At 38.4% G+C, this 25787-nt stretch overlaps 1 protein-coding gene across 21 annotated transcripts in view, besides 1 other annotated feature; it reads right to left on the reverse strand.

The window, feature by feature from the left end:
• AUH (AU RNA binding methylglutaconyl-CoA hydratase) overlaps positions 1–25787 on the reverse strand; it is a 148096-nt gene that overhangs the window by 108995 nt on the left and 13314 nt on the right. For 14 of the 21 annotated variants that reach the window (XR_007061324.1, XR_007061323.1, XM_017014849.2 and 11 more), the window contains one exon: positions 2501–2587. The exons of 4 other annotated variants lie outside the window; for them this stretch is intronic. Coding sequence is in view for 15 of the 17 variants with exons in the window: in XM_017014849.2 (XP_016870338.1) it covers positions 2501–2587 (87 nt within the window). In the remaining 2 variants the exon portion in view is untranslated. 3 more of the 21 variants (XM_047423527.1, XM_047423530.1, XM_011518803.3) reach the window with 3 other exon arrangements.
• Positions 21012–21667: an enhancer, noted in NCBI's record as "NANOG hESC enhancer chr9:94106111-94106766 (GRCh37/hg19 assembly coordinates)". NCBI's record gives its function as "activates a minimal SCP1, AML or CMV promoter by ChIP-STARR-seq in primed H9 embryonic stem cells {active_cell/tissue: H9 hESC(primed)}" and the evidence as "EXISTENCE:reporter gene assay evidence [ECO:0000049][PMID:30033119]".

The raw sequence follows: 25787 nt of genomic DNA on the forward strand, positions 1-25787 counted from the left end.
CCCCTAACCACAATGACCAGACAGAGCTTATTCTAGTAATGTATGGCCACCGCAGCATTAGTAAATCTATTAACACAACTCAGTATAATAAAGGCTAAATAAGGCAAACGCTAACATACATCAATTATAATCCCGATGCATATTTTAAAAGCATTTGACAAACTTTAATACTTATTCTTGATTAAAAACAGAAATAATCTCCTAACAAGTTGAAATAGAAGAGAACTGCCTGAATATCATAATTACTGGCAAAATATTAAAGGCACCCACCAAAGTCAAAGAAAGATAAGGATGATCACGCTCACCTTAACAAATGAATACTCTATGAGGGCCTGAACCAATATGAAAAAATATGAATATGTAAGGTTAAAATGTTGGGGGAGGAGATAAAAACTGCATTACTTATAGGTAATTACCTATATTGTACTTTTCAACTGAAAACACAAGAAAATTAAAGAAGAATTAACACAAGTAATTATCCAGCTGACATGATATAAAATAAGCACATAAAAGTTATTAACTTTTGGCCAGGTGTGGTGGCTCCCACCTGTAATCCCAGCACTTTGGGAGGCTAAGGCAGGTGGATCACGAGGTCAAGAGATCAAGACCATCCTGGCCAACATGGTGAAACCCCATCTCTACTAAAAATACAAAAATTAGCTGGGCATGGTCATACGTGCCTGTAGTCTCAGCTACTTGAGAGGCTGAGGCAGGAGAATTGCTTGAACCTGGGATGCGGAGGTTGCAGTGAGCTGAGATCGTGCCACTGCACTCCAGCCTGGTGATAGAGCGAGACTCCGGCTCAAAAAAAAAAAAAAACTTAATAACTTTCCTACAGACTATAATAACAAGACTACAACGAAAACAAGGGGAGGGTCTCATTCAAAGGAATAAATGCTATAAAATAGCTAGGAATATATTTGAGGGGGAAAAAAAGATATAAGACCAAGAAAAGTATAAAACTTCCTTGAAAGACATTAAAAAAATGAATGACCCCAGAAAATACGAGCCATGCACACTATGGATAGAAAGATTTACTATCATAAAAATGTCAAAATTTTCTTAACAAAATTTATAAAATTCCAATCACAGTTGCAATACAGAAATTTTTCCTCTTTGCCTTAAAAAAATAATTCTAAATTCATTTGGAAAAACTGATGTGCGAGAATCAACAGAGAAAACCTTCAAGGAAAAAGAATAATAAAGAGAACCTAGCATCATCTAGATATTAAAAGTTTTAAATTTAAAGATACTGGAATCAAATTAAGCACATTAGAGGACAATATCTATAACACATTTAAACACAAAGAATATAAAAATGCCTTTTAAATAAACAAGTAGTTATTAAATAATCCTATAAAAGGAGGATGAAGATGTGAAAGGCAATTTACAAATGAAGAAAAGGCTGAGTAATGTGGCTCATGCATGTAATCCCAACACTGTGGGAAGACGAGGGAGGAGGATCGCTTGAGGCAGGAGTTCAAGATCAGCCAGGGCATCACAGTGAGACCCCCATCTCTACAAGAAAATTAAAAATCAGCCAGGCCTGATGGTTCACACCTGTAGTCCTAACCACTTAGGAGGCTGAGGCAGGAGGATCTCTTGAGCCCAGGAGTTGGAGGTTACAGTGAGCTATTATCATGCCACTGCATTCCAGCCTGGGTGATAAAGTGAGACCCTGTCTCTAGAAAAAATCAAAAATTAAAAAAAAAAAAAAACTAAAACCAAATAAAAAAAAAAAAAGAAAGCCAAATCTCATTTGAAAAGATAAAACATCACATAAGCATTTGGGGCAATACAAATTAAAATGTTGAGTTTTTTTTTTTTTAACCTAGGCAAACTTCAAAAATAGCAACATTATATGCTGGCAGGAATGTGAGGAAACATATACTGTCTTTAACCGATGGGAATATAATTTTGTAGAATTTATTAATACTAAAATATAAAATGAACAAATGATAACTGGAACAGCGATTCCCTGTTTAAGAATCTATGCTTATGTACAAGGGTATTCACTACCTTATTATAAATAACATAAACAGAGGAAAAAAATGTTCATTAATGAAGAAATAATATAAAATTTTGGATAAGACTGGATTAATATACAGCAGTAAATTAAAAATAAAATAAATTGATAGTTACTGTAAGTCTTAAAAAAGTATGATCCTGTATATTTAAAAAACAAAGGAATCCCAAACGTATGTTTGCATGTATATAGTTAAATATAGATATTGTAAGTCAAAGGCTTATGGCAAATTATTATTGTTGTCTAATAAATAAATACCTTCATATTTTATCATACATAAGACATCTGTAATTATTAAATATTTTACATAATTTTTCAAATTAAATATATTAAGTGTCACGTTAAACAGCTATAGGTCATGATTATCTAATTATATAAATATTTAACCAATGCTTATATATAATGTGTAACTTTTTAAATGTGACATTTAAGAACCCCTTCGGCATGCTGAAAGAAGAACTTAATAGTGCTTACCAATATCGTTAATCACTGCTCTTATTTTGGAGACAAAAGGACCAACTTCACTGGAACTCATTTTGGCTCTTTCCTTAAGGTCAGCACCTGCAAAGTATTTTATTTACAAATATAATCTAGTTGTAAACAAAATTTTAAGGCAAAGAATTGAAAATTTACTTAAGATTAGTATACAACTTCAAGATCAGCCTAATTCATCTTTTAATAGAATGACATTACCTCAGTTTTCCTTCCCAATGACCATGTTCAACAAGAATAAAGTATTTGTCTATTCATACGTCTACCATGTGCTTAAAGCGGTGCTTCTCCAGCTTTCCAGTCTCAGGCCCCTTCACGCTCTTAAAGGAAGACACTATAGTTGGCATCTACTGATCTATAGTTACTCTATTAGAAATCAAAACTAAGAAATTGTTTAAATGTTTATTCATTTAAAAATACAAATGAACCCATTAATGTTAACATAAATAATGACAAATTGGTGACACCACCTTGCTGCTTTGCAAGGTGCTGTCAGTTTATCCACCACTGCTTTTGCAGTGTATTAGCACAAATGCCAACCCAGTAAAAAGGGCAGATTACACTTTGGTCAGTCCTTTTGACTTCATGGATGCCTGCCTTGGGGACTGTCAACCACAAGGGAGAAGCATAGATTTAAAGTATGAACAAACTGATGATTTCATAATTATGACTTTAGCACAGAATCGTAACTTTGGAACAGAGAAAAATAAACACATGGAATTCCTTAAGGGATAATTAACTCTGAGAACAAAGAAGATCTTTAGCAAAATTAACAATCTGAAAAAAGATGGGTCCCCAATTAAACAAACAGACGAACAACAAAGTAAAATTACAGTATAGAAGGCATACACTCAGCTATTTACCCTTATTAGTCTATTACAAATCAATCATGCTGATACATAATATAAGTAAGGGCTAGGGCAGGGGCATTCTGATCTCACACACTTCCAGGGGAGTGAGAACCTCAGTTGACAAAGCACATATCCCAGCATCCATCAGATCTTAGATATGTATACCCTAGAAAATCTCTCAAATACCCAAGAAAATATGTACAATAAAATTCAAGGGAGCATACAAAGACTAGCAAAAAAATGGATATAACCTAAATATCCATCCATAGGAGAATTAATAAAACAAGGACATAATTATAAATAGAATGTTACCTGTATAAGCATGAAGGTGAAAGAATTAAGAGTAAATACAGATAAATCCAATGAATAATATTATTGAAAAAGTATTAATTACAGAAAGATACACAGGATAATGAACACAAATTTTAAAAACAATAATGCTATTCAGGGATATAAAACACACAGAAATGATAAATTCAATTGGTGGTTATGGGGGCTGGAGTATGACTGGCAATGGGTACACAGAGGACTTCAATTTTATTTGTAATATTGTATTGCTTAGGTTGGGTGGTGGGTGCTAAATATGCAAGTCTTTAAATGTTTTGGAATGCCTGATACATGTCTTTGTAATTAATTTTTCCATGAAGAATTAATATGTAACAAAGAAAAATGTTGGCAGAACCAAAAACAAATAACTGGCTTAACTTGGTGCCAAACTGTTCTTTGAGGCCCAGTATTTCTCAGTTCCATTACTTCATAAATTTAAATATTTTACATTTATGACCACTCATCTCAAGTGGGCCATTCTGCTGCCCAGCAATCCTACTGTATTTCCTGAGTTCATTCACTCTCCTACTCACATATAGACCACTTCACAACTTCCCTCTCCACGAATCTTAAAACCTCCTATCAATCCTACGAAAAGCCAGAAAAGACATTCTACCAGTACTTACCACCAAAGCTATCCATCCAGGACTTGAACCTATATACTCCGCCCTGCCTCCTGTTACCATGAATGAACTAACTCATTGAGAGTGACAGAAGACAGACAAATTCCCCAGCAGACAGGGATGTGTCCCCAGTGAAACCCAACCTTCAAGCCACTGACAGTTTAAAGTCTAAAAACCGAGCTGCTGGTTTGAGAGAGTCCATAAACAGAGAGAGAACTTCTATCCCCATATTACCCTCACTCTCTTGATTGGTTCCTTCTGGATGATGCCTTTTAACCAATCAAACAGTGATTTTTCCAAGCCCACCCAGGGATGAATCAGCACACACACCTCCATTCTAACCCATAAAAACCCCAGACTCACCCTCTCAGGTGGCTACCCACTTTGGGTCCCCTCTCACAGCTGAGAGCTTTCCTTATGTCACTCAATAAAATTCTTCTCTGCCTTACTCACTCTCTGGTGTCCACGCACCTCATTCCTCTTGGTCGCGGGACAAGGACCTGGAACTCGCTGAGCTGCAGGCGACAGGAATGAAAGGGCTGTGATGCCCCTGGCCGGCTCGCCAAGCTGCGTGCAACGGGAATAAAAGAGCTGTAACATGCTCCCGCTAGCCAAGCTATGGGAGTGAAGAGCTGCAACATTTCTGGGGTCCCAGACCTCAGGACTCCCCGAGCAAGAGTTGTAACACTGCTTGGGGCTCCATGAATGCTGGTTTTATCTCTGAGTTTTTGGGTGACACCACATTCCCCTTGTCTAGACACCGGTGCCTGACATGGAAGTCATTCATGGCATGCCCAGTCCAGCCTCAAGCTGAGTGTGGAGGTGCAGCAGGCACGGGATTCAAGTGGGCGCGAACCAAGCACAACCTGCCAGGCCAAGAGGGTGGAGTAAGGCCAGGGGGCCCAAGCAAGGCCCAGACAGAGGTGGCAGGGGCAGCAAAGATTTCTGGCTGGCAAAGTGGCACTGAAGGAATCCTGTAACATCATGAGGGAGGCCAATCCATCCCCTTGTGCACTGGATTCAACCCCTTCTAATCTCCTTGGGGACATCACTCACTCCAGCACTTACGCGCTCTCCTTGGCTGGCATCAATACTACCCCTCCTTAGAGGTTCGTTCCCATCAGCATATAGCAATGCTGTAATACTGACATCTTAAAAAAAACTCACATAGACTTCCACTGTTAGCTATGATGGAATAGGTCATCATCAGACCAATTCCTCCATGAAATACTGCAGAAAATATGTAAGACAGCTGCTTGAGCAACTAAGGCAGCCAGGATGTAAGAGGCTGGAAAGCCAGAGAAGGGAAACTATGGTAAGCCTCTGCTTTCCTCCCAAAACATACACTGAGTTATAAACTGGTCGGGTAAAGAGGGTATAAAAGCCGTAGCACGAAGCAGCAGCTCAGAAATCTCTGTAATCTCCTGGAAGTGGGGAGACAAACACTGGCAGTGAAGACTACAGGCTCAGCCAGAACTTTGAGGCCAAGATCTCGGAGAAAAAGGAACTACCAACAAGAGAGCCCACTAAAGGGACTCACCAAATTAATGAAATAAAGGTGAAAATCGTATACATTTTCATTAGTTACAGAAAAAGTATTTGATAAAATTCAATATTCATTCCTTAACATCTTCACTGAAGAATAATTTACATAAAATAGAGTTCAGCCACTTTAAGTATAGAATTCAAGGATTTTTACTAAATTTACAGAGTTGTACAACCATCACCTCAATCTGATCTTAGAACACCTCCATTATCACAAAAAGATCTCTCATGCCCATATGCAGTTGCTCCCTGTTTCCATCCCAGCACCATGTAATCACTAATCTATGTTCCTAAGAATTGGTCTTTTCTGGACATTTCCTATAAATAAATTCATACAATATGTGGTCTTTTTTTGTCTGTTTTCTTTCATATGGCTTGCTTTTCAGGTTCATGCATGTTATAAGCATGAAGTATTCCACTGTATGAACATATAAACGTTTTGCTTATCCCTTCATCGGATGACAGATATTCATATCATTCCTACTTTTTGGCTACTATGACTAATGCTGATATGGACATTCACTTACAAGTTTTTGGTGGACAAATGTTTTCATTTGTCTTGGATAAAGACAAAGTAGAATTGCTAGGTCATACTGTAAATTTTTGTTTAACTTGGAGAAAAGAAAAAAAAAAAACAAAAACCCTGCCAAGCTGTTTGCCTAGGTTGGCTGCACCATTTCACATTCCTACCAGCAATGCATGAGGGTCTCTGTTTTCCTAGTCACCAACAATTGTCTGTCTTTTTTATTATACCCATTCTAGTGAGTGTGAAGTGGTACCTATAAGGATTTTAATTTGCATTTCCCTAATGACTAATGAGGTTAAACACTTTTCATGTGCTTACTGGCCATTCAAACAGCTGCTCTAGTGAAATGTCCATTCAAATCTTGCTCATTTTTTTAAAATCAGGTAATTTGTTTTCTCCTTATTGAGTTGTAAGTTATAACTTAGATACAAGCCCTTTCTAAAATATATGATTTACAAATATTTTCTTCATTTTTGTGTCTTGCCTTTCACTTTCTTGGTGATTTTTGAAGCACAAATTTTAATTTTGATTAAAATTAATCAAAATTATAAATTTTTATCAGTTGTGCTTTTCTGGTAATATCTAAAAATCAACACTCATTCCTGATTAAATTATCTTAGCAAATTAGGAAGAAAAGGGAATCTTTATAATAAAAAGTAACTGTAAAGTACCTATAGCTAACATAATCTTTAACAGTCAATTACTAAAAGCTTCCTCCCAGGGACCAAGAAAAGAGACAAGGGTGTTCCCTAACACTTTTAAACACTGTAACAGATGTACTAGCGAGTGTGATAAGACCAAAATAAAACTTACAAGGATTGAAAGGTATAATAAAACAGTCATTATTAGCAGATAACTGTATATGAAGAATAGCCTAAAGAATTTTCAAACCATGAAAATAAGTAAATTTAGTAAGGTTGCTGGATATAAGCTCAATATACAAAAATCAACTGTATTTCTATATACTAGCAAAAGAAATTTGAATGTGAAATCTCGAAAAGATATCACTTTCAAAACATCCAAAAATCAAGGAGTGAAAGAATAAATCTAACAAAAGGAACATAAGACCTTGACACAAAAACTGAAAAATCTTACTGAAATAAAGAAGCCCCAAATAAAAGAACACATTACATTCATGTGTTAGAATAGTTCATACTAAAAGATGTAAATTCTCTCCAAATTAATAGATTAAATGTTGTTCCAATAAAAATCCCAATTTTTCTGAAAATTAATAAGATGAAAATGCAAAGTGCCAACAACAGTCAAGATACCGCATAAAGTATTGGTGAAGGTGTAAAGCAATGAGACCTCTGACTTAAGACTGCTAGGAGTAAAACCAGTACAATCATTTTGGAAAGCAATTCCACTCCAAATATACACACTCAACAAAAAATGCATGATGTGTACTAAAAGACATGTACAAGCATAGTCAGGGCAGCACTATTAGAAACAGCTAAAAGCTGGGAACACCTCAAACAACAAGCAAACAGTAGAAGACACAAATTATGAAATATTTCTACAAGGAACAGGACTGCACTACTCCTAGACGAATGGTACAGGCTGAATCCTGCAAATATGTTCAATGGAAGAGATCAGCCTGCAAAATTCCAACTACATAAAGTTTGAAAATAGGCAATATTAGTATTTGGCGATAAAAGTCATAATAATTGCCTATGTCTTTTGGGTGGGAGATGGGTAATGATAAGGAAGGGACATGTGGGACGACTGTGGTGTGCTGGGACTTCATTTTGTAGAAATTTACAGAATTATGTGCTTTTAATTTGTGCAATTTTCTGTATGTCCACATTATACTTCAGTTAAAATTTTTTTTAAGTTTCCTGATTCCATACGCCCTACCCCCTCCAGCTGCCAATTTTTTCCTCCTTTTTACGCCAAACTCTTCAGAAGACCTGCCTCCCATGCTCTCCTCCTATACTGTCTCCAAGCAAGGGAGACAAAAAGAGTAAAAAATAAACATAACAAATTAGTAATCTACATAGAAGGGGATAAATGTTTTGGAGAAAAAGGTGAAGAAAGTACAGACGGGTATTAAAGGTGGTGACCATGTCACAATATTCGATGTCATAAATACCATTCTATTTGAGAATGTATAATAAGCTTTGTGAATGGCAGTATCATAGCCAATGAGGTTTATCTGAGGAGAGATTATTCTAAGAGAAAGTATAATAAGATTCAATAAGATTTCATATGTTCCTTGTATTTCAAGTGTATCTAATAATTTAATACCTGGTTCTCAGACATTTTAAATGAACTTTATATCTCCTGTTACATATTTGTATGTAACTTGCCAGTAATAACTTGTATTGCTTTTGCATTATCTACTGCAAACTCTTTTCATTTAAATATATAGTTGGAAATGTATAATACACTAAGTAGACAACGCATGGAATTGATACATTATTTAACAATTTTGAGAAAACATATATTTTAAACACCACCCACTATAATGGCCCTCTCCTAAAATTTCAGTGTTTTAATAAATTCCTTCTTTTAAATATTCTTTAGGATTAGTATGTATTAAATTTCTATACTTATATTTGCAGTAAACTACTCCAATGAACTTTAGAGAAGTTATGGGAAAACACACTATTCTCTGTTATGCACTGCATGATGTCTAGCTTCCTTGGCCCCCACTAACCATATGTCAATAAAGCTCTTCAACAGCCAAAAACGTCCCTCAAATTCCAAAAGGCTCCACAGTGGGTGTTAACGTCCCCTTGAGATCTAATGCTTTAAGCCAGTGATCTTCAACCTTTTTGTTCCTATTATTGCTAAAAGAATTTTGAAGTATGTGCTCCTTTGAACATTTTTATGCTGACATTTGAAATTTTTCATCTAAGTTTAAGTAGTTTGAAAGATTTCAATGTACTATGAACACTCACATTTTTAAACAAAACTCATATGCCATTTTCAATGAATCCAGTGGAACCTACACTATCAGTGATTTGGTTCTCAAAATCATCCGCATTAAAACATACCGCATTTAAAACAAGCTGGGCGCGGTGGCTCACGCCTGGAATCACAGCACTGTAGGAGGCTGAGGCAGGCAGATCACTTGAGGTCAGGAATTCAAGACCAGCCTGGCCAAAATGGCGACACCCCGACTCTACTAAAAACACAAAAATTAGCCAGGAGTGGTGGCGGGTGCCTGTAATCTCGGCTACTTGGGAGGCTGAGGCAGGAAAATCACTTGAATCCAGGAGGTGGAAGTTGCAGTGAGCCAAAATCGCACCACTGCACTCCAGCCTGGGCAACAGAGCAAGACTGTCTCAAAAAAATAAATAAAACATACAAACAAACCTATCCTTAAAAAGTGTAAACTGAAGAATGAGGAGGTTCATAAACTTGGAAAGGAGAGTTTTATTTCTCATAAATGGTTGCGGCTTGTGCCATACTGACAGGCTGGGGAGCACAGCTTTTGGCCAGAAGCCAGAAACAGACACTTCAAGGGAAAGGCAAAGGGAAGTGGAATTTATGATGAACGAGGTGGCTGAATATACATATTTAACAAGTTCTAAGAGTCATGAATATTATAAAAGGAGAAATGCGTGCGCACAATTGAGCTTCATGCACTTTCATGGGTCATGTACAAAAAATGGGGGCGTGAGCATGGCCCGAGGGCAGAGTTTTCAGCCCTCTGCTGTCAAAGGTGAAGCAGAGGACACAAAAACCCTCACTGTGCATCCTTCGTAGACCTCCCAGAACCACTCTGCGGTTCTCGCTCTCTTATCAGGAAAGAACGCTGGTAAGCAGTTAAAACTACAAAAGGCAGGGGCAGCACCAGGCAGTAGATATCAGCAGTGGAGCAAGTCTTTCCAAAGGGCTGGTTTGTTTAACCTTCAGGAAAGAAAGCCTAATGGCAGTTCTCCAGGGAGGGGGTATTACAAGAGATGTCCGACCTCCCATCCTGTCATGGCTGAGATTTTCCTCGGCCAAAAGGAGGTCACAGTTGTCCAAGTCAGTTGGCTTAGCATTTCATTTTTATTTCTCAATATAAAAAATGTTACATTATCTCCTTTCTTCATTAACTGGTATTTTTGCTCTGCTTTCAATTTTTTTTTTCCTGATATAACTGGTATTTGTGCTTTAAAATATTTTATTTGTCATTCTGTCACATTTCTTTGCAACAAAATGTGTATGCAAATTAAATTAATTTTTATTAAATTCCCTATAAAGTGCCAAGTTTAAAAGTTTTCTTCTGGATTGAATTTTCATTACAAGTATTATTAGCACAGAACTGACAAAAGCAAAAATATATTTCAAATTTGATAACTATTAAATACTAAATATAAACTTTTATTAGACATGCATCACAATGAGATAGATGGGACTACCTTCCCTCCTCTCATTATTTCATATATTCATGAATGAGTATTATTTACTGCTAGAGTGAGGCAGGATTTACCATCAATTTTACTCATGCTGAGAAAACCTTTTCACATAAACAAGGAAGATGTTTACTACAGCAATGTCATTCCTTTAGCACTCTGGTGAAAAAATCACATCGTAATCAAGAAACATCTAACAAGTTCCCAACAATTCTAGTAAACTGTCTTCAAACTATGTTGAAAGCAAAGAACCAGAAACTGCCAGAATAAGAATCTCAGCTGAAATTCTCAACATTAATATTTTAAAGGCCTCTTTTTTGGCAATTCATAGGCTTTTTTCCCCTCCCTGTAGCAACAAAGCAAAGATCAGGAATAACTTTCCATTGTGGAAGAGGCAACTATGAAGAGAAAGAGAACTGGAACCTCCAGTTCAGCCTGAAGAGTTTTATGACAGGGTACACGTTATGTATTAGACAGACCCTTTATGTATTAGACAGATGTGTGCACCTCCTGAGGCCTAGAAACATCCCAGCCCCAGCCAGGGGATCTCTGTTTTTAAGTCACATCAGTCAGAAGTCAGTTGCCAGGTCATATGGAATGCAAAGTGGCTGCACATCCACACACTGCCTCCAGTACACGGCATTGTCATACTTGCTGTGATGACTCACTTTATGTGTCTACTTGTCTGGGCCACAGGGTGCCCAGATAAAATACAGTTTCTTGGTACGTCAGTAAGGGTCCTTCTGGATGACTAGCATTTGAATTCGTGAACTGCAAAGAAGCAGCCCTTCCCATGTGGGTAGCCATCATCCAATTCCCTGAGGGCCTCAATAGAACAAAAGGTGAAGGAGGAAGGAACTGGCCTCTATTTTCCGCCCCACTGCTAGAGTTGGGACATCTCATCTCATCTTCCCCTGCCCTTGGACTAGATTTACACTGGCTCCCATGAATCTCAGGCCTTTGGACGCAGACTGAATTACACCACCAGCTTTCCTGGGTCTCCAGCTTGCAGATGTAGACTGTGGGACATTTCAGTTCCATAATCCCGTGAGCCAATTCCTCACAATAAATCTTTTATATTTCTATTGATACTATTTATCTGGAGAACCCTAATACACTTATTAAATTGTGGCAATCTAGTGAATGAGAAATGGTAATTTTAAGTTGCATTTTTCTCAGAAGTAAAAGATGAAATGCTTCACAAAATTGTAGGGGGTTATTACGCAGTGATTAAAGTCATGATTTCAATCGTTCCAATTTTTGTACATGTGGTGCCAATTCGAACACCCTGGTCTCTTGATCCCACTCCAAACAGGCTTTTATTCTCTCCAATAAAGCCAAATAATCAGGTCAAGATAACCAATGATTTCCATGTGGCTAAATCCACATCTTAACCTGCAAGCAAATCTGGATAAAGCGGGGATTCTCCTGAGTCCTGGAATATCTCCAACTAGGACCAGGAAACTAGTCTGTTTTTCTTTCCCGCTGCTCTTACGTGGTGGTTGTCAGGGGTACCCTAGCTTCATAAAATGAGCTGGAAAAGACTCTCTTTTTCTATTTTCTCAAAGAGTATATAAAGACTGGAATTATCTGCTCCATGAATGCTTAGGTGTAAATGTAACATTCTTCTGAAGTCATTGTGGCCCGGTGCTTTCTGTGTGGAAAGATCTTTAACTGATGCTTCAATTTCCACATTGCTCTGGTATTACTAGTTTTCTATTTCTTAAGTCAGTTTTGGTTAATTTTTATTTTCTAGTAATTTATCTATTCCACCTAAAATCTTGACTTTATTGCACATTCTTAACATTATCTTACCAGTTTAATCTCTGTGGAATTTATATCTATGGCTCCCTTTTCCAATCTGAATATTGTGTATTTTTTCCCTCACTCACAATTAATCTTGCCAAAAGTCTGACTATTTGGCTTTTCAAAGAAGCAGCTCTAGGCTCTATTATCCTTACTACTTAATGTGTTTTCCATGTCATTAGTTTATGCTCACTTCATTTCCTTTCATCTACCCTATTTGGGTTATTCTGCAGTTATTTTTTCACTTAAGGTACATGCTTAGTTTATTCATTTTCAGCCTTTTTTCTTTCCTGAAGTCCAACCTTAGCTATCTTATACAATTTTTAAAGTATTTTTTGTTAGCATTTAGTTCTGAATGCTTTCTAATTTCCATTAAGATTCATTTGCTGAGCTGTAAGTTATTTAGAAGTTATCTTAAATTTCCCAATGTAGGGGACTTTTTCTAATTACGTTTTTTGTTAATGACTTCTAACAACTGCCTGTGGTGACAGAATGTGGTCTGATGATAGCTGTCCTCTGAAATCTGTGGAGGTTTTATGGCCTAGCAGATGGCTAATTTTCATAAATAGTCCATGTGTGCCTGAAACGAATGCCTAGCCATCAACCACTGTGGATGAATGTCCACAAAGGTATATTACATTAACCCTCAGTAGACCAGGAAAAGTAACCAACACTCTATCAGCTGGGGCCAATGGACTCCTTAGATCTTTATTTCATATTTAGGTCAATTTACAAACAATTTAAAGAAAAATAATAGTGAAAAAACAACTTTATTAGAAATTTTAGTAAAAATTTAAACATAAAAAACCCACGTTGCTATTTTATATTTTCCTGGCATATGCATATATATGTATATACACACACATACATACAAACACATACATATTATAAATATACAAATATATACTCACATACATACACAAACACATCTGAAAAAGGCTACATCATTTGAACGAAATTGTTAACAGACAGAAATAAACCTGGATTGGCCAGGCATGGTGGCTCATGCCTACTCCCAACACTTTGGGAGGCCAAGGCGGGTGAATCACTTGAGGCCACGAGTTTGAGACCAGTCTGGCTAACATGGCAAAACCCTGTCTCTACTAAAAACACAAAAATAAGCTGGGCGTGATGGTGCACACCTGTAAACCTAGCTACTCAGGAGGCTGAGGCACGAGAATCACTTGAACCTGGGATGCGGAGGTTGCAGTGAGCCGTGATTGCACCACTGTACTGCACTCCAGCCTGGGTGACAGAGCAAGACTCGGTCTCCAAAAAAAAAAAAGAAATGAACCTCCATCACACAGACTCGGTCTCCAGAAAAAGAAAAAAAAAAAAAGAAAGAAAAAAGAAATGAACCTGGATTGCACAGGTTTATAAAAGCTGAATCTAGGTTTCAAATACATCTCTAGCAGATCATCATTACTATCACTACTTCTGGTTCTTCTTGGACTTGCACTGTAGAAATGCAATGTTTTTGAAAACACTGATGGCTCTTAATTTAAAGAGGACAGCCATATTCTTTGCTCCCTAATTGCAATATACTTTCATTTTTAGATTTATAAACATCAGTCAGAATGATCAAGCCAATGACTTGTTTTCATTTCTATGCCATCTATTTCCTTCTTATCACCTTTGTATACACAAGGGCCTTCAACACATCATTTACAAGCTGTATCAAGTAAATGTTCACATATAAACATCATATGAGATCCAACAATACTATCGCACATCCTCTTGGCAAAATGGGATGGTCCCTCCCCACTGCCCACAGAGCAGAGATTATTTCTCTGTTATTTACTGCTATATCCTCAACAGTACCTGACACATGGCAGGCTCTCTCTAAAAAATATTAAATACATGAATTAATTAATGAAATTCATGTGTTTTCTTTGTAGTTGAGATCTGATGAAGAGTTACAGTAAAAATGCTTAAGAGGTATGAATACTAACCATTTACCTTAACATCCTCTCCAACTTACCTCCTCCTATTTCCTGATGGCAGCCTTTTGTTCTGGTGCCCTCCCAACTCCCCACAGTCCATATACTTTGGAAGAAGATGAATCTACCCCCACATCCAGGAGTGGACTATGGTTAGTTTGAGCTAACCAGCATGGTCCACTCCCCTAAGCAATCAAATCAAGCTCAATTGAAGGGCTCCAGCTTGGATTGCAGCAGAGTATTCTCTTTCTTTCAAGAAAGTCATGCATGGATATGGGGCCCAGAACTGAAGTTTTAGGCCACCAACCCATATATAAAGCTGGCAAACAGAGTAAACTACAGGAATTTCAGAAAAATTCAAAATGACTGGATTCAGGCAATCCTAACAGGCTTATAGTTTAAGTCAATTTGTGAAAATGCTTTGTTAGATGGAGGTGAGAGCTCATTATCTAACTAGATGACATATTAGAAATGATTACAAATTGGTTCTGCTTCAGTCCACATCTGTTCTCAAGGGAAGGAATTGATTGGTGGAGATATAAAATTAGCTCTAATGATTACAGAAAGTTTCTAGGTAATGTCTGGAGAGGATCAAGTGAGATTAAGGAGCATGACCTTCTTGGTATAACATGACTACTGTCAGAGCTTCTAGAGCACTAGATCCTCAATAAGAATACCAACTTGTAAGTGCTTTCACTTATATCCTCATCCAGAACCTGCACCCACCTTTTACTCCAATTAAATAAAAAATTTCTATCTTGGAAACTCAACCAGTAAAATTTTACCTGCCCATTTGATGAAAAGGACTATTCTGCCACAGGATTTCTATTAGAATTCAAGGCTCTAATAAATCAGATGTCACTTTTCCTCAAAGTGAAGTGTCCTTTCACTAACCAAAACCAAAACCCTCCATTTCTGTCCAGCGTCTCAGCCCCTCTTGAAGGCCTACTTCGAGGCTTCTTTCTGAAACGTGATGACACCTCTCCCTCTTCAATAGGATCAGATTAGTTTCATCAGCATGCAAACTATAGTAACACCTCCATCCTGAAAAAGTCTCATAGATCCCTCATACACTTCCAGCCATCACTACATTTTAATGAACTAACAGAGACTGATTTCTAGGAGGTACTTTTTTTTTGGCAGGGGGACAGAGTCTCGCTGTTGTTGGCCTAGGCTGGAGCGCAATGGCGCGATCTCGGCTCACTGCAACATCCACCTCCCAGGTTCCAGCAATTCTCCTGCCTCAGCCTCCCGAGTAGCTGAGATTACAGGTGCCCACCACCACGCCCTGCTAATTTTTGTATTTTTAGTAGAGATGAGGTTTCATCATGTTGGCCAGGCTGGTCTCGAACTCCTGACCTCAGGTGATCCACCCACCTGGGCCTCCCAAAGTGCTGGGAAGAGGTATTGTTAACTGCAAAAACTCAAGTGCAAGAATATATATAAAATGCTACTAGCATAAGAAAGATTGGAAATAGTTGAACAAATAGGTATAGCCTTAATTTTGCAGACAGAAACATGAAGGATAATCTAGAAACTAATGAGACTCACTAACACCCTCAAGGGTGGGAACTGGAGGGAAGAGATTAGAGGGAGGAAGTGGGTACTGACACTTCTATGATTATATCTCTTTGAATAGTTTAGACTTCTGAAACCATATTAATATTTCATATATCAAAATAAAATAAATAGGAGTGAGGAAACCTAACATTACCTCTAATGAATAAAACACAACCACAATAAAGAAATAACCTAAGTAACTCTTCACACAATATGTTTAGTATTGTATATTACAGTATTACATACCTTCAGTCCAAAGATATAAAGTACAGCTACTCCTTGACTTGCAATGGGGTTATATCCCAATAAACTCATGGGATGTTGAAAATATCACAACTGGAAAATGCATTTTACAGATGCTCCTCAACTTAAAATGGGGTTACAATTTCTACTGAATGCGTATCACTTTTGCACCATCGTAAATTGAAAAATCGCTAAGTCAAACCATCATTAAGTGAGGGACTGTACTGTCAATAGGTAATAAGCTCTGGATAAAAGGTATGTTTACCACAGTGGTATGGATCAGCAACTCTGAAATTACTTTCAGTAAGTTACAGGATTGAGCAAATGAGTCAATATACTGCAGGTACTACAAATATGGAAAGGGAGAAGGTAACAATGAACCCTGTGGTGATAAACTGGAAATGGAGGTAACAATATAAACTCATGGTTTTCAACATGTAAGTACAGAAATGGTTGTAAACATGTGTGTGTGAATATGTAATGTAATTTATCTACTTATTTCTTAGGTCTGTCTTGAGAAGCAAAGACACCCATGTAACAGTGAGCACATGTTGTACCCAGATCTTGGTTCTTCAATACCATTCCCCACTAATAGGAACTAAGAACTTGCACCTGTGGCTGCAATGGAGTAACTGGTACTGGATCCCCTCCCTCAAAATATATGAAATGGCTCAGCTATTGATCAACAGGCAGTAAAAGACTACCATCTGGGATCCTGTGACTGTCCCTGTTTTCTTCCTGAAGACACCTGACAGACTGGTAGAAGGCAGGGGTACCCCAACAAAGCACTGTGGTCTTGCTGATCGAGATCAGCGTGCAGGGAGGCTGAGGTGGCTGGAATTTACAGGGCAGATAAATGGAAAGGTGGGGTAACCTCTCAGAGGAAGAGCTCCAGTAAAATGCACTAGGGTTCCCTAATGCTTAGGCTGAACAGTAAACTCCCAATTCATAGAAAATTACTAGAGAAAGAAAAAACAACCAGGGAGCTATGAAATGAACAAATCCTAGAGATTACACTGAGCTGAAAGGCATTCACGCTATGACCAGCAGGAATAGAGAGAACTTGTCAACACCTATGTCCAGCTGGACTGATCCTCCAGGACAGTAACTACCTTCTGCAGCAAAACCACACTGAATAAGAAAGATACCTAATAGGCATGTGTCCTATCTGTCACAAAACAAAACCAATTGACAGTTATTTCACATAATTCTAAAGAAAAAAAATTACCAAATGTTTACAGTCACAAAAAGGTAACAAACATAATATCCATTAATATAAAATTTAATGAGTAAATAATACTGGTATTAATCATGTTGCCTTTTTCTTTAGAGAATGTAAAAATATTGACTACCTCCATCTCTTTCAACCTTATTTTACCCCGAAAAGCAATACATTATTCAAATGAAACTTCAACTCAGGGAGTTTTTAAGAACCATAAACCTCAAGATCATCCTAATTGGTGCTGGCCTTCAAATCTAGCATTCACCCAAATGACACTATCACTGAACAAAATACTTCTCAAACTATGAGTTGTACAACTGTTTCCAGATCACTCACCAAGCACACAAGAAAAAATGAACATTTTTATTTTTATGTCAAGAAAAACAGCCTCCATGGCCAAGCCTCTCCAGCTTCTTCCTGCAAAGCCCAGTGTAACTGACCCCTGCTCCTCCAGCTGGAACAAACAGAGAAAACTGGAGTGTGAACCAGAAGACAGCAAAAAACAGCCTGCAGGCCAGTCTGCACCCAGCTTTTACATCTTTTCTAAGGGTTGTAAAGATAAAACAAAGAATATGTGACAAAAATTGTTAAGAGGCACACAAAGCCTAAAATATCTGGCCTTTTACACACAAAATTTACTAACCTCAGTCTAGACTAATGCCAGTTCCCAGAGAAAGCCCTGAGAAGGCAAACTACTACTGAGTATCAATTTCCAGAAGCAGACTGACAAAAATCTAATTTTTTCTAACTTTTGAAGTCTCCCTTTCTAACTGCCGGAGCTCTACTCAAGCTGACCAAAGTTCTAGAGCTGAATTCCACTCCCCTGGCCTCATGCAAGAGGGGTCTCCTGCAGGAAGGACCCCTTCCAGCCTCCCACTGCCCACAATGCTCACCTCACCACATAACTGGGCAGCCTTGGAGAAAGGGGACTGAGAGAACCACCTAGGCTCTCTGACCAGCTGCCCACCCACTAGGGGGGGCCCATTCTCTGCTCACCCCAACAGAGGCAGCTGTGCTCCTCCAAGACATCCCTTGTGGTAGCAGGTGGGAGAGAGAACTTGAAGTCCATCTGGGAACACATCAAAGCCATATCTTTGAAACAGGTTTAACGGTAAGTCATAAAGCTAATGTTTTAATCTCCACTGGTTAAATTTACTGGTACCCTAGATACAACCTTCTATTTATAAGACTGACAATATCTCAAGAACAAATCACTCTTCTTAACCACACAAGCCACCTACGCATGCTCTGTATCAAAGCTTGTTTTATTTAACCATGACATTTTGCCAATGTTACTTCCTCAACAACCAAAATGGTTCACAGTCATCCCATGAACTATTTGCTAAGTGCCTTCTATGGGCCAGGCACTGTTCTGGCAATAGGCCTCTGTCCTAATGCCAACGAAAGGAGCTTATCTGCGGGGGAGGCTGACTGATAATCAATAAGTAAAAAATAAATTCAAGAACAGAAACGTTCAGAGATGAAGCTAAAATAGAAAAATGTGATGGAGGCTGGGGGAAGCAGGGAGACCTGCTTTGGTTTAAGTGATGAGGGAACAGCTATTTAAGATGACATTAGAGCAGAGGCCTTTCTGAACACAAAGAGAACACTGAGCACAACGAGTTGGAGAGAAGAATGAGCTTTGTCAAGCAGAGAGAGTAAGAAAGGCAGTGGGAAATTGGTGGGAAAAGGCAATGTGGCCAGAGTAGGCGAGACCTGACACACTTGGTATCAGTTTCCTGGTGCTGCTGGACAAATAACTACAAGCTTAAAGGGATTACCTGACAATTCTAGGTCAGAAGTCTAAAATGGGTTGGCAAGGCTGCATTCCTTCTGGAGGCACTAGGGAAGATGAGCTCCCTTGCCTTTCCCAGCTTCTAGGGGCTGTCCACATTCCTTGGCTCATGGCCCCTTCCTTGCTTCTCTCCAACTTCTGCTTCCTGTTGTCATTTCTCCTGCTCAGAGTCCTCCTGCCTCCCTCTTGTATGAACCCTTGTCTTTACATTGGGCCCAGTGGATACATCAGGAAAATCTCCCCATCGTAAGATCTTCACCTTCCTCACATCTGCGAAGTTCCTGTTTCCATGTAAGGTTCCAGCATTAGGACGTGGACAACTTTGGGGGTCATTTCTGCCTCCCACACACTTTATTTCTGAACAGTGTCTGAAATAGCAGAGTGATGTGATCCATTAACTTTTTTAAGATCACTTGGGCTGCTGTGTGGGGAAAGGGCAAGAGTGGAAGCAGATTAGTCAGCAGGTTATTACTAATATATATTTCCTATTCCTTAAAATCTCTACAGATCCTAAAATATTATACAGGTAGGCTTTTTAAAAAATGGAATTAGAGTCAGAAATGAATTAGCAACAACCAATCAATCATTACTTACACAGAAAGGGCACGAGTACTCTGAGTCATTTTTAACGGCATCTCTGACGTGCTCAAATGAAAACATTAAAATTTAAGTGCAGCTGACCTTTGAACAACATCAGGTCTATTTGTACACAGATTTTCTTCCACCTCTGCCACCCCTTTGAGACAGCAAGACAACCCCTCCTCTTTCTCCTTAACCTACTCAACATGAAGATGACAAGGATAACCTGTGTGATGACCCACTTCCACTTGATAGTAAATGTATTTTCTCTTCCTTATGGTTTTCTTAGTAACATTTTCTTTTCTTTAGCTTACTTTACTGTAAGAATAAAGCATATAATACATATAACATACAAAATGTTTGTTACTCAACCCTTTATGTTACCAGTGAGGCCTCCAGTCAACAGTAGACTATTAGTAGTTCAGTTTTTGAGAAGTCAAGTTATAGGAGGATTTTCAACTGTGAGGGGTGGGGGCAGGGGTGCAGGTGGAGGTGTCATCTCTCCTAACCTCTCATGTTGCTCAAGGGTCAACTATAAGAAAAGAAGGGCCTCAAATCAGTTATCTAAACTTCCACCTTAGGAAGCTAGAAATAAGAGTAAATTAAACCCGAGGCAAACAGAGAGAAGAAAATAATGAAGAAATCAATGAATAGAAAGAAAAGCAAAATAAAGGAAACCAAAAGCCACTTATTTGAAAAGATAAACAAAAGTGACTAATGTTTTGCTAGTATTTAAGAAAAAAGACACAATGTATCAATATCAAAAATAAATAATCAGACATCGGCCAGGCACAGTGGCTCACACCTATAATCCCAACACTTTGGGAGGCTGAGGCAGGCGGCCTTGAGGCCAGGAGTCCGAGACCAGCCTGGCCAACATGGTGAAACCCCATCTCTACTAAAAATACAAAAATTAGCCAGGTGTGGTGGTGCATGCCTGTAATCCCAGCTACTCGGGAGGCGGAGGTTGCAGTGAGCTGAGATTACACTGCTGCACTCCAGCCTGGGTGACAGAGCAAGACCCTGTCTCAAAATAAATAAATAAATAATCAATCAGATATCATTATAGATTCAATGTAGTAAAAGGATAAGGAATAATATGAACAATTTTATGGCAATTAACTTGAAAACTTAGATAAAACACAAATTACCAAAACTCACTCAACTTAAAAGACACAAATTACCAAAACTCACTCAAAAAGAAATGTAAACCAAAAATAAAATTCTGAGTTCGCCAACTGACTGATGGACCCTCCCCTCCACCAAGGGCAATCCAAAGCTAACCTGAGAAACTAGTTCAGGCCATGATGGAAAGTGGGAGTGGGAGTAGGACATTCTTCATTATACTCTCCTCCCGTTGGAATTCAGGCACAGATGACCAGCATTAACATCAACACAGGACCTGAAGACTGACAGAACAGGCCCTTTAAGTCTGACAAGAAACATTTACAATCTATTTTCTCTGAAGCTTCCCACCTGAAGGCTTCATTTGCATAATAAGAACCTTGGTCTCCACAACTAAGACACTGCCTTTCACTGATTCCAGGTCTTTAGATAAATTCTTTCAACCAATTGCCAATCAGAACATCACTGAATCTACCTATAACCTGGAAGGCCCCCTATCCCTCACTGCTTCCAGTTGTCCCACCTGTCCAGACTGAACCAACGTACATCTTACATGTATTGATTGATGTCTTATGTCTCCCTAAAATGTATAAAACCAAGCTGTAGACTGAACACCTTGGGCACACATTCTCATGATCTCCTGGGGCTGGTCACTCATATTTGGCTCAGAATAAATCTCTTCGAATATGTTACAGAATTTGACTTTTCAAACAGAAGAAACTCAAGTAGCCCTGTATTTATTAAAGATATCAAATTCATAGTTACAAATCTTCCCACAAAGAAACTTCCTAGACCAAATGACTTCGTTGGTGAATTTTACCAAACAATTAAGTAAGAAATAATAACAACTATGCAAACTTGTTCAGGGAAATAGAAGGAAGGAACATTTCCCAATTCATTTTATGAGACCAGCACTATCCTGATACCAGAACTACAGACCTTACAATAAAAGAAGGCAAACCAATTTCCCTTATGAAAAGTTATAAAATCCTAAAAAACTTAAGCAAATCAAATCCAGCAGTATATAAAAAGGATTAATGATCGAGAGGTCTGTTCCAGGAATACACAATTGTTAATAATTGATAATCAATCAATCATTCACCATATTGACAGGCTGAAAAATAATATGAGAATCTTAATAGATGCCAAAAAGAGATTTGACAAAATTCAATACATGTTCATGAAAAAAAAAAAATGCCTCAGCAAACTACAAATAAAAAGAAACTTTTCACCCTGATGAACTGCATCTGTGAAAAAACTACAGCTAACATCATACTTAGTAGTAAAAGACTGGATGCCTTCCCCATAAGATTGAGAAAAGACAAAGACGAACACTCACACTGCTTTTAGTCAACTCTATAATGAAAATGTAATGGATATATAAAAAAAAATAAAAGGTGAACAGATAGGAAAGGAAGAAGTAAAACTATCTTTATTCACAAATGACTTGACTACCTTTGTAGAAAACCCCAGAGTATCTACAAAAAAGAGTCCTAGAAGTAAAAAGTGCATTTAACAAGGTTGCAGGATACAAAGACAATATACAAAAATCAATATACTAGCAATATACTAGTAATAAAAAATTGGGAGTAAAATTAAGAAGAAATGCCACTTACAGTAACATCAAAATATATGAAAAACTTAGAAATAAATTTAACCAAACATGTCTAAGACCTGAACATGGTAACAGACAGTGCGGTATTGGCATTAAAAATACCCAGAGAAGGCCAGGCGTGGTGGCTCACGCCTGTAATCCCAGCACTTTGGGAGGCCGAGGCAGGTGGATCACGAGATCAGGAGATCGAGACCATCCTGGCTAATACGGTGAAACCCCGTCTCTACTAAAAATACAAAAAATTAGCCGGGCGTGGTGGCGAGCCCCTGTAGTCCCAGCTACTCGGGAGGCTGAGGCAGGAGAATGGTGTGAACCCAAGAGGTGGAGCTTGCAGTGAGCCAAGATCACGCCACTGCACTCCAGCCTGGGTGACAGAGTGAGACTCCATCGCAAAAAAAAAAAAAAAAAAGTACCCAGAGAACCCTGACATAACTCACACATATACTGTCAACTGATATTTTAGACAGGTCCCAAAATAATGTAATGGGGGAAAAGTTGGTCTGACAAATGGTGCTGGGAGAATTGAAAATGCAACAAAACAAAAACCCCAAAAAAAGCCACCTGTGTATAAAAAAAATACTTCGTCGTTTTTATTCCAGGTTCCTGGCCCAAAGCTCCTAAAACCCTCAGAATTTCCTGAGTGACAGAGTGTCTTTTGTTATTCCTAACATGCCCTTCTCAACCAAACCTGAGTTTATGCTAATGAACTGACTCTTAGAGGGCCCCTAGATAGCTCCAGGACAGGCGCTGGTCACCAGAAATATCAAGCCATGATCAGAGGGTTAGAACTTTCAGTGCCCTACCCACACCTTCAGGGAGTGAGAGGAGCTGGAGATTGAGCTCAGTCGCCAATGGCTAATGATGTAATCAATCATTATGTAAAGAGGCCTCCATAAAAAATCCCTGAAACAGGGCTTAGGGAGCTCCCAGGTTAGTGAACACATGGATGTGCTGGGTAAGTGGCACACCTGGAGAGGGTATGGAAGCTCTGCAACCCTCCACCCTAACTTTGCTCTAAGTACCTCCTCCACTTGACTGTTCCTCAGTTTTCTCTTTTATAATAAACTGGTAATAGTAAATAAAGCACTTTCCTGAGTTTCGTGAGATGCTCTAGCAAATCCCATTCCTGAGACCAATTATGACGTCTTTTTTTCTAACACCACTTCTGACACCAAATGTCTGAGGGTTTCCACACCAATTCTTCAACATCAAGCGGGTATCCAACAATTCAGTTAAATTCTGCCACCATCCAAAATTAGTGGGATCCCACAAGTTAAGGGGTCCCACAAGGCTGCCCTCACTTCAGATGCAACTCACAAGTCCCAGGGGCAACCCATATGTCTGAAACAACCAGCTATAGATTTGGGGATTCCCCTAAACTCCTCAGGTTACTTAATTCACTAGAATGACTCAGAATTTAAAAAAAAAAAAAAAACACTTTATTTACTATATGCAACTCAGGAACAGACCAATGGAACAGATGCATAGGGCAAGGTATGGGAAGAGGGAGTACAGAGCTTCCATGCCCTCTTTAGGAGTGCCAACCTCCTAGAAAATCAATGTGTTCACCAACCTAGAAGCTCCCTGAGCCCCATTTTTTGTTTTGTTTTTTTGAGACAGGGTCTCACTTTGTCACCCACGCTGGAGCACAGTGGCACAATCACAGCTCACTGCAGCCTCAATATCTCAGGCTCAAGCAATCCTTGCACCTCAGCCCCCTCAAGTAGCTGGGATTACAGGAATGTGCCACCACACCCAGTTAAGAGGGTTTTTTGTTTGTTTGTTTGTTTGTTTGTTTGTTTTGGTAGAGATGGGGTTTTGCCATGTTACCCAGGCTGGTCTCAAACTCAAGCCATCCACCTGCCTCAGCCTCCCAAAGTGGCAGAATTACAGGCATGAGCCACCGTGCCTGGCTCTGAACCCCGCTGTTTAAGGGTCTTTATGGAGGTTTCATTACCTCCATAGGGAGACATGAATGACTAAATCACTGGCCACTGGTAACTGAGCTGAATCTCTGGCCCCTTTCCCCTCTGGGGGGAGAGGGTGCTAAAAGTTCTAATCCTCTAACCCATGGCTGCTTTTTCTGACAAGCTGCCCCCCCATCCTGAAGCTATCTAGGGTCATCTCATTACACAACAAAAAGCACTTGGACCATTCAGGAAACTCCCAGGGTTTTAAGAGCTCTGTACCAAGAACAAGGGCAAAGACCAAATATATTTTTTATTCTCTTTCACAACATATATAAAAATTAACTCAGAATACTTCAGAGTCCTAAATATAAGATATAAAAACTACAAAAGTATTAGAAAACAGGAGAAAATCTTTCTGACTGTGGGGTAAAACAAAATTTCTAAAATTCACAAAAAGGTACAAACCATAAAAGGAAAAAAAAATGATAAATCAGTCTTCATACATGTATACATACGTAACAAACCTGCACATTGTGCACACGTACCCTAGAACTTAAAGTATAATAAAAAAAAGAAACAATATGTAAATTTTTAAAAAATCAGTCTTCACATAAAAAACTTTTGTTCTTCAAAACAAATTATAAGGCAGAAAAATGACAGGCCATTTAGTGGAAGAAAACTTACCAAGTATAACAGATAAAAGTCTTGTATCAAGAATATAAAAAAAAACAAAAAAAAAACCTTACAACTCAATGAGATGAGATTCTAAGAAAAACATTGGGAAAAAATTCAAATAAACAAGTCATCAAAACAGATATACAGGTGACACATATGAAATGTAAACTAAAACTACAATGAAATATGACTTTGTATCCATTAGGATGCCTACAATTTTTAAACCTCATATTATCAAGTGTTGGTAAGCATGTGGAACGCCTGAAACTCTCATCCGTTGCTAGTGGGAATGCAAAATGATACCGAAAACAGTTGGCAGTTTCTTACAAAACTAAACACACAGGATAAAACCAGTAATTCTACTTCTGACTATTTACCTGAGAGAAATAAAATTATGCATTGCCAAAAAGGTGTGTGTGAATGGTCACAGAAGTGATGCATAAAAGCCAAACGATGGAAAAACCCAAATGACCATCACCTAATGAATAAACAAACCGTGAAACAGTCATACAATAAATACTATTCTCAGCAATAAAATAAAATACATGCCAATAAAATGAAACTAGTGAAACATGAAT

Source organism: Homo sapiens, chromosome 9, assembly GCF_000001405.40.
Source record: "Homo sapiens chromosome 9, GRCh38.p14 Primary Assembly".
Lineage (NCBI taxonomy): Eukaryota > Metazoa > Chordata > Mammalia > Primates > Hominidae > Homo > Homo sapiens.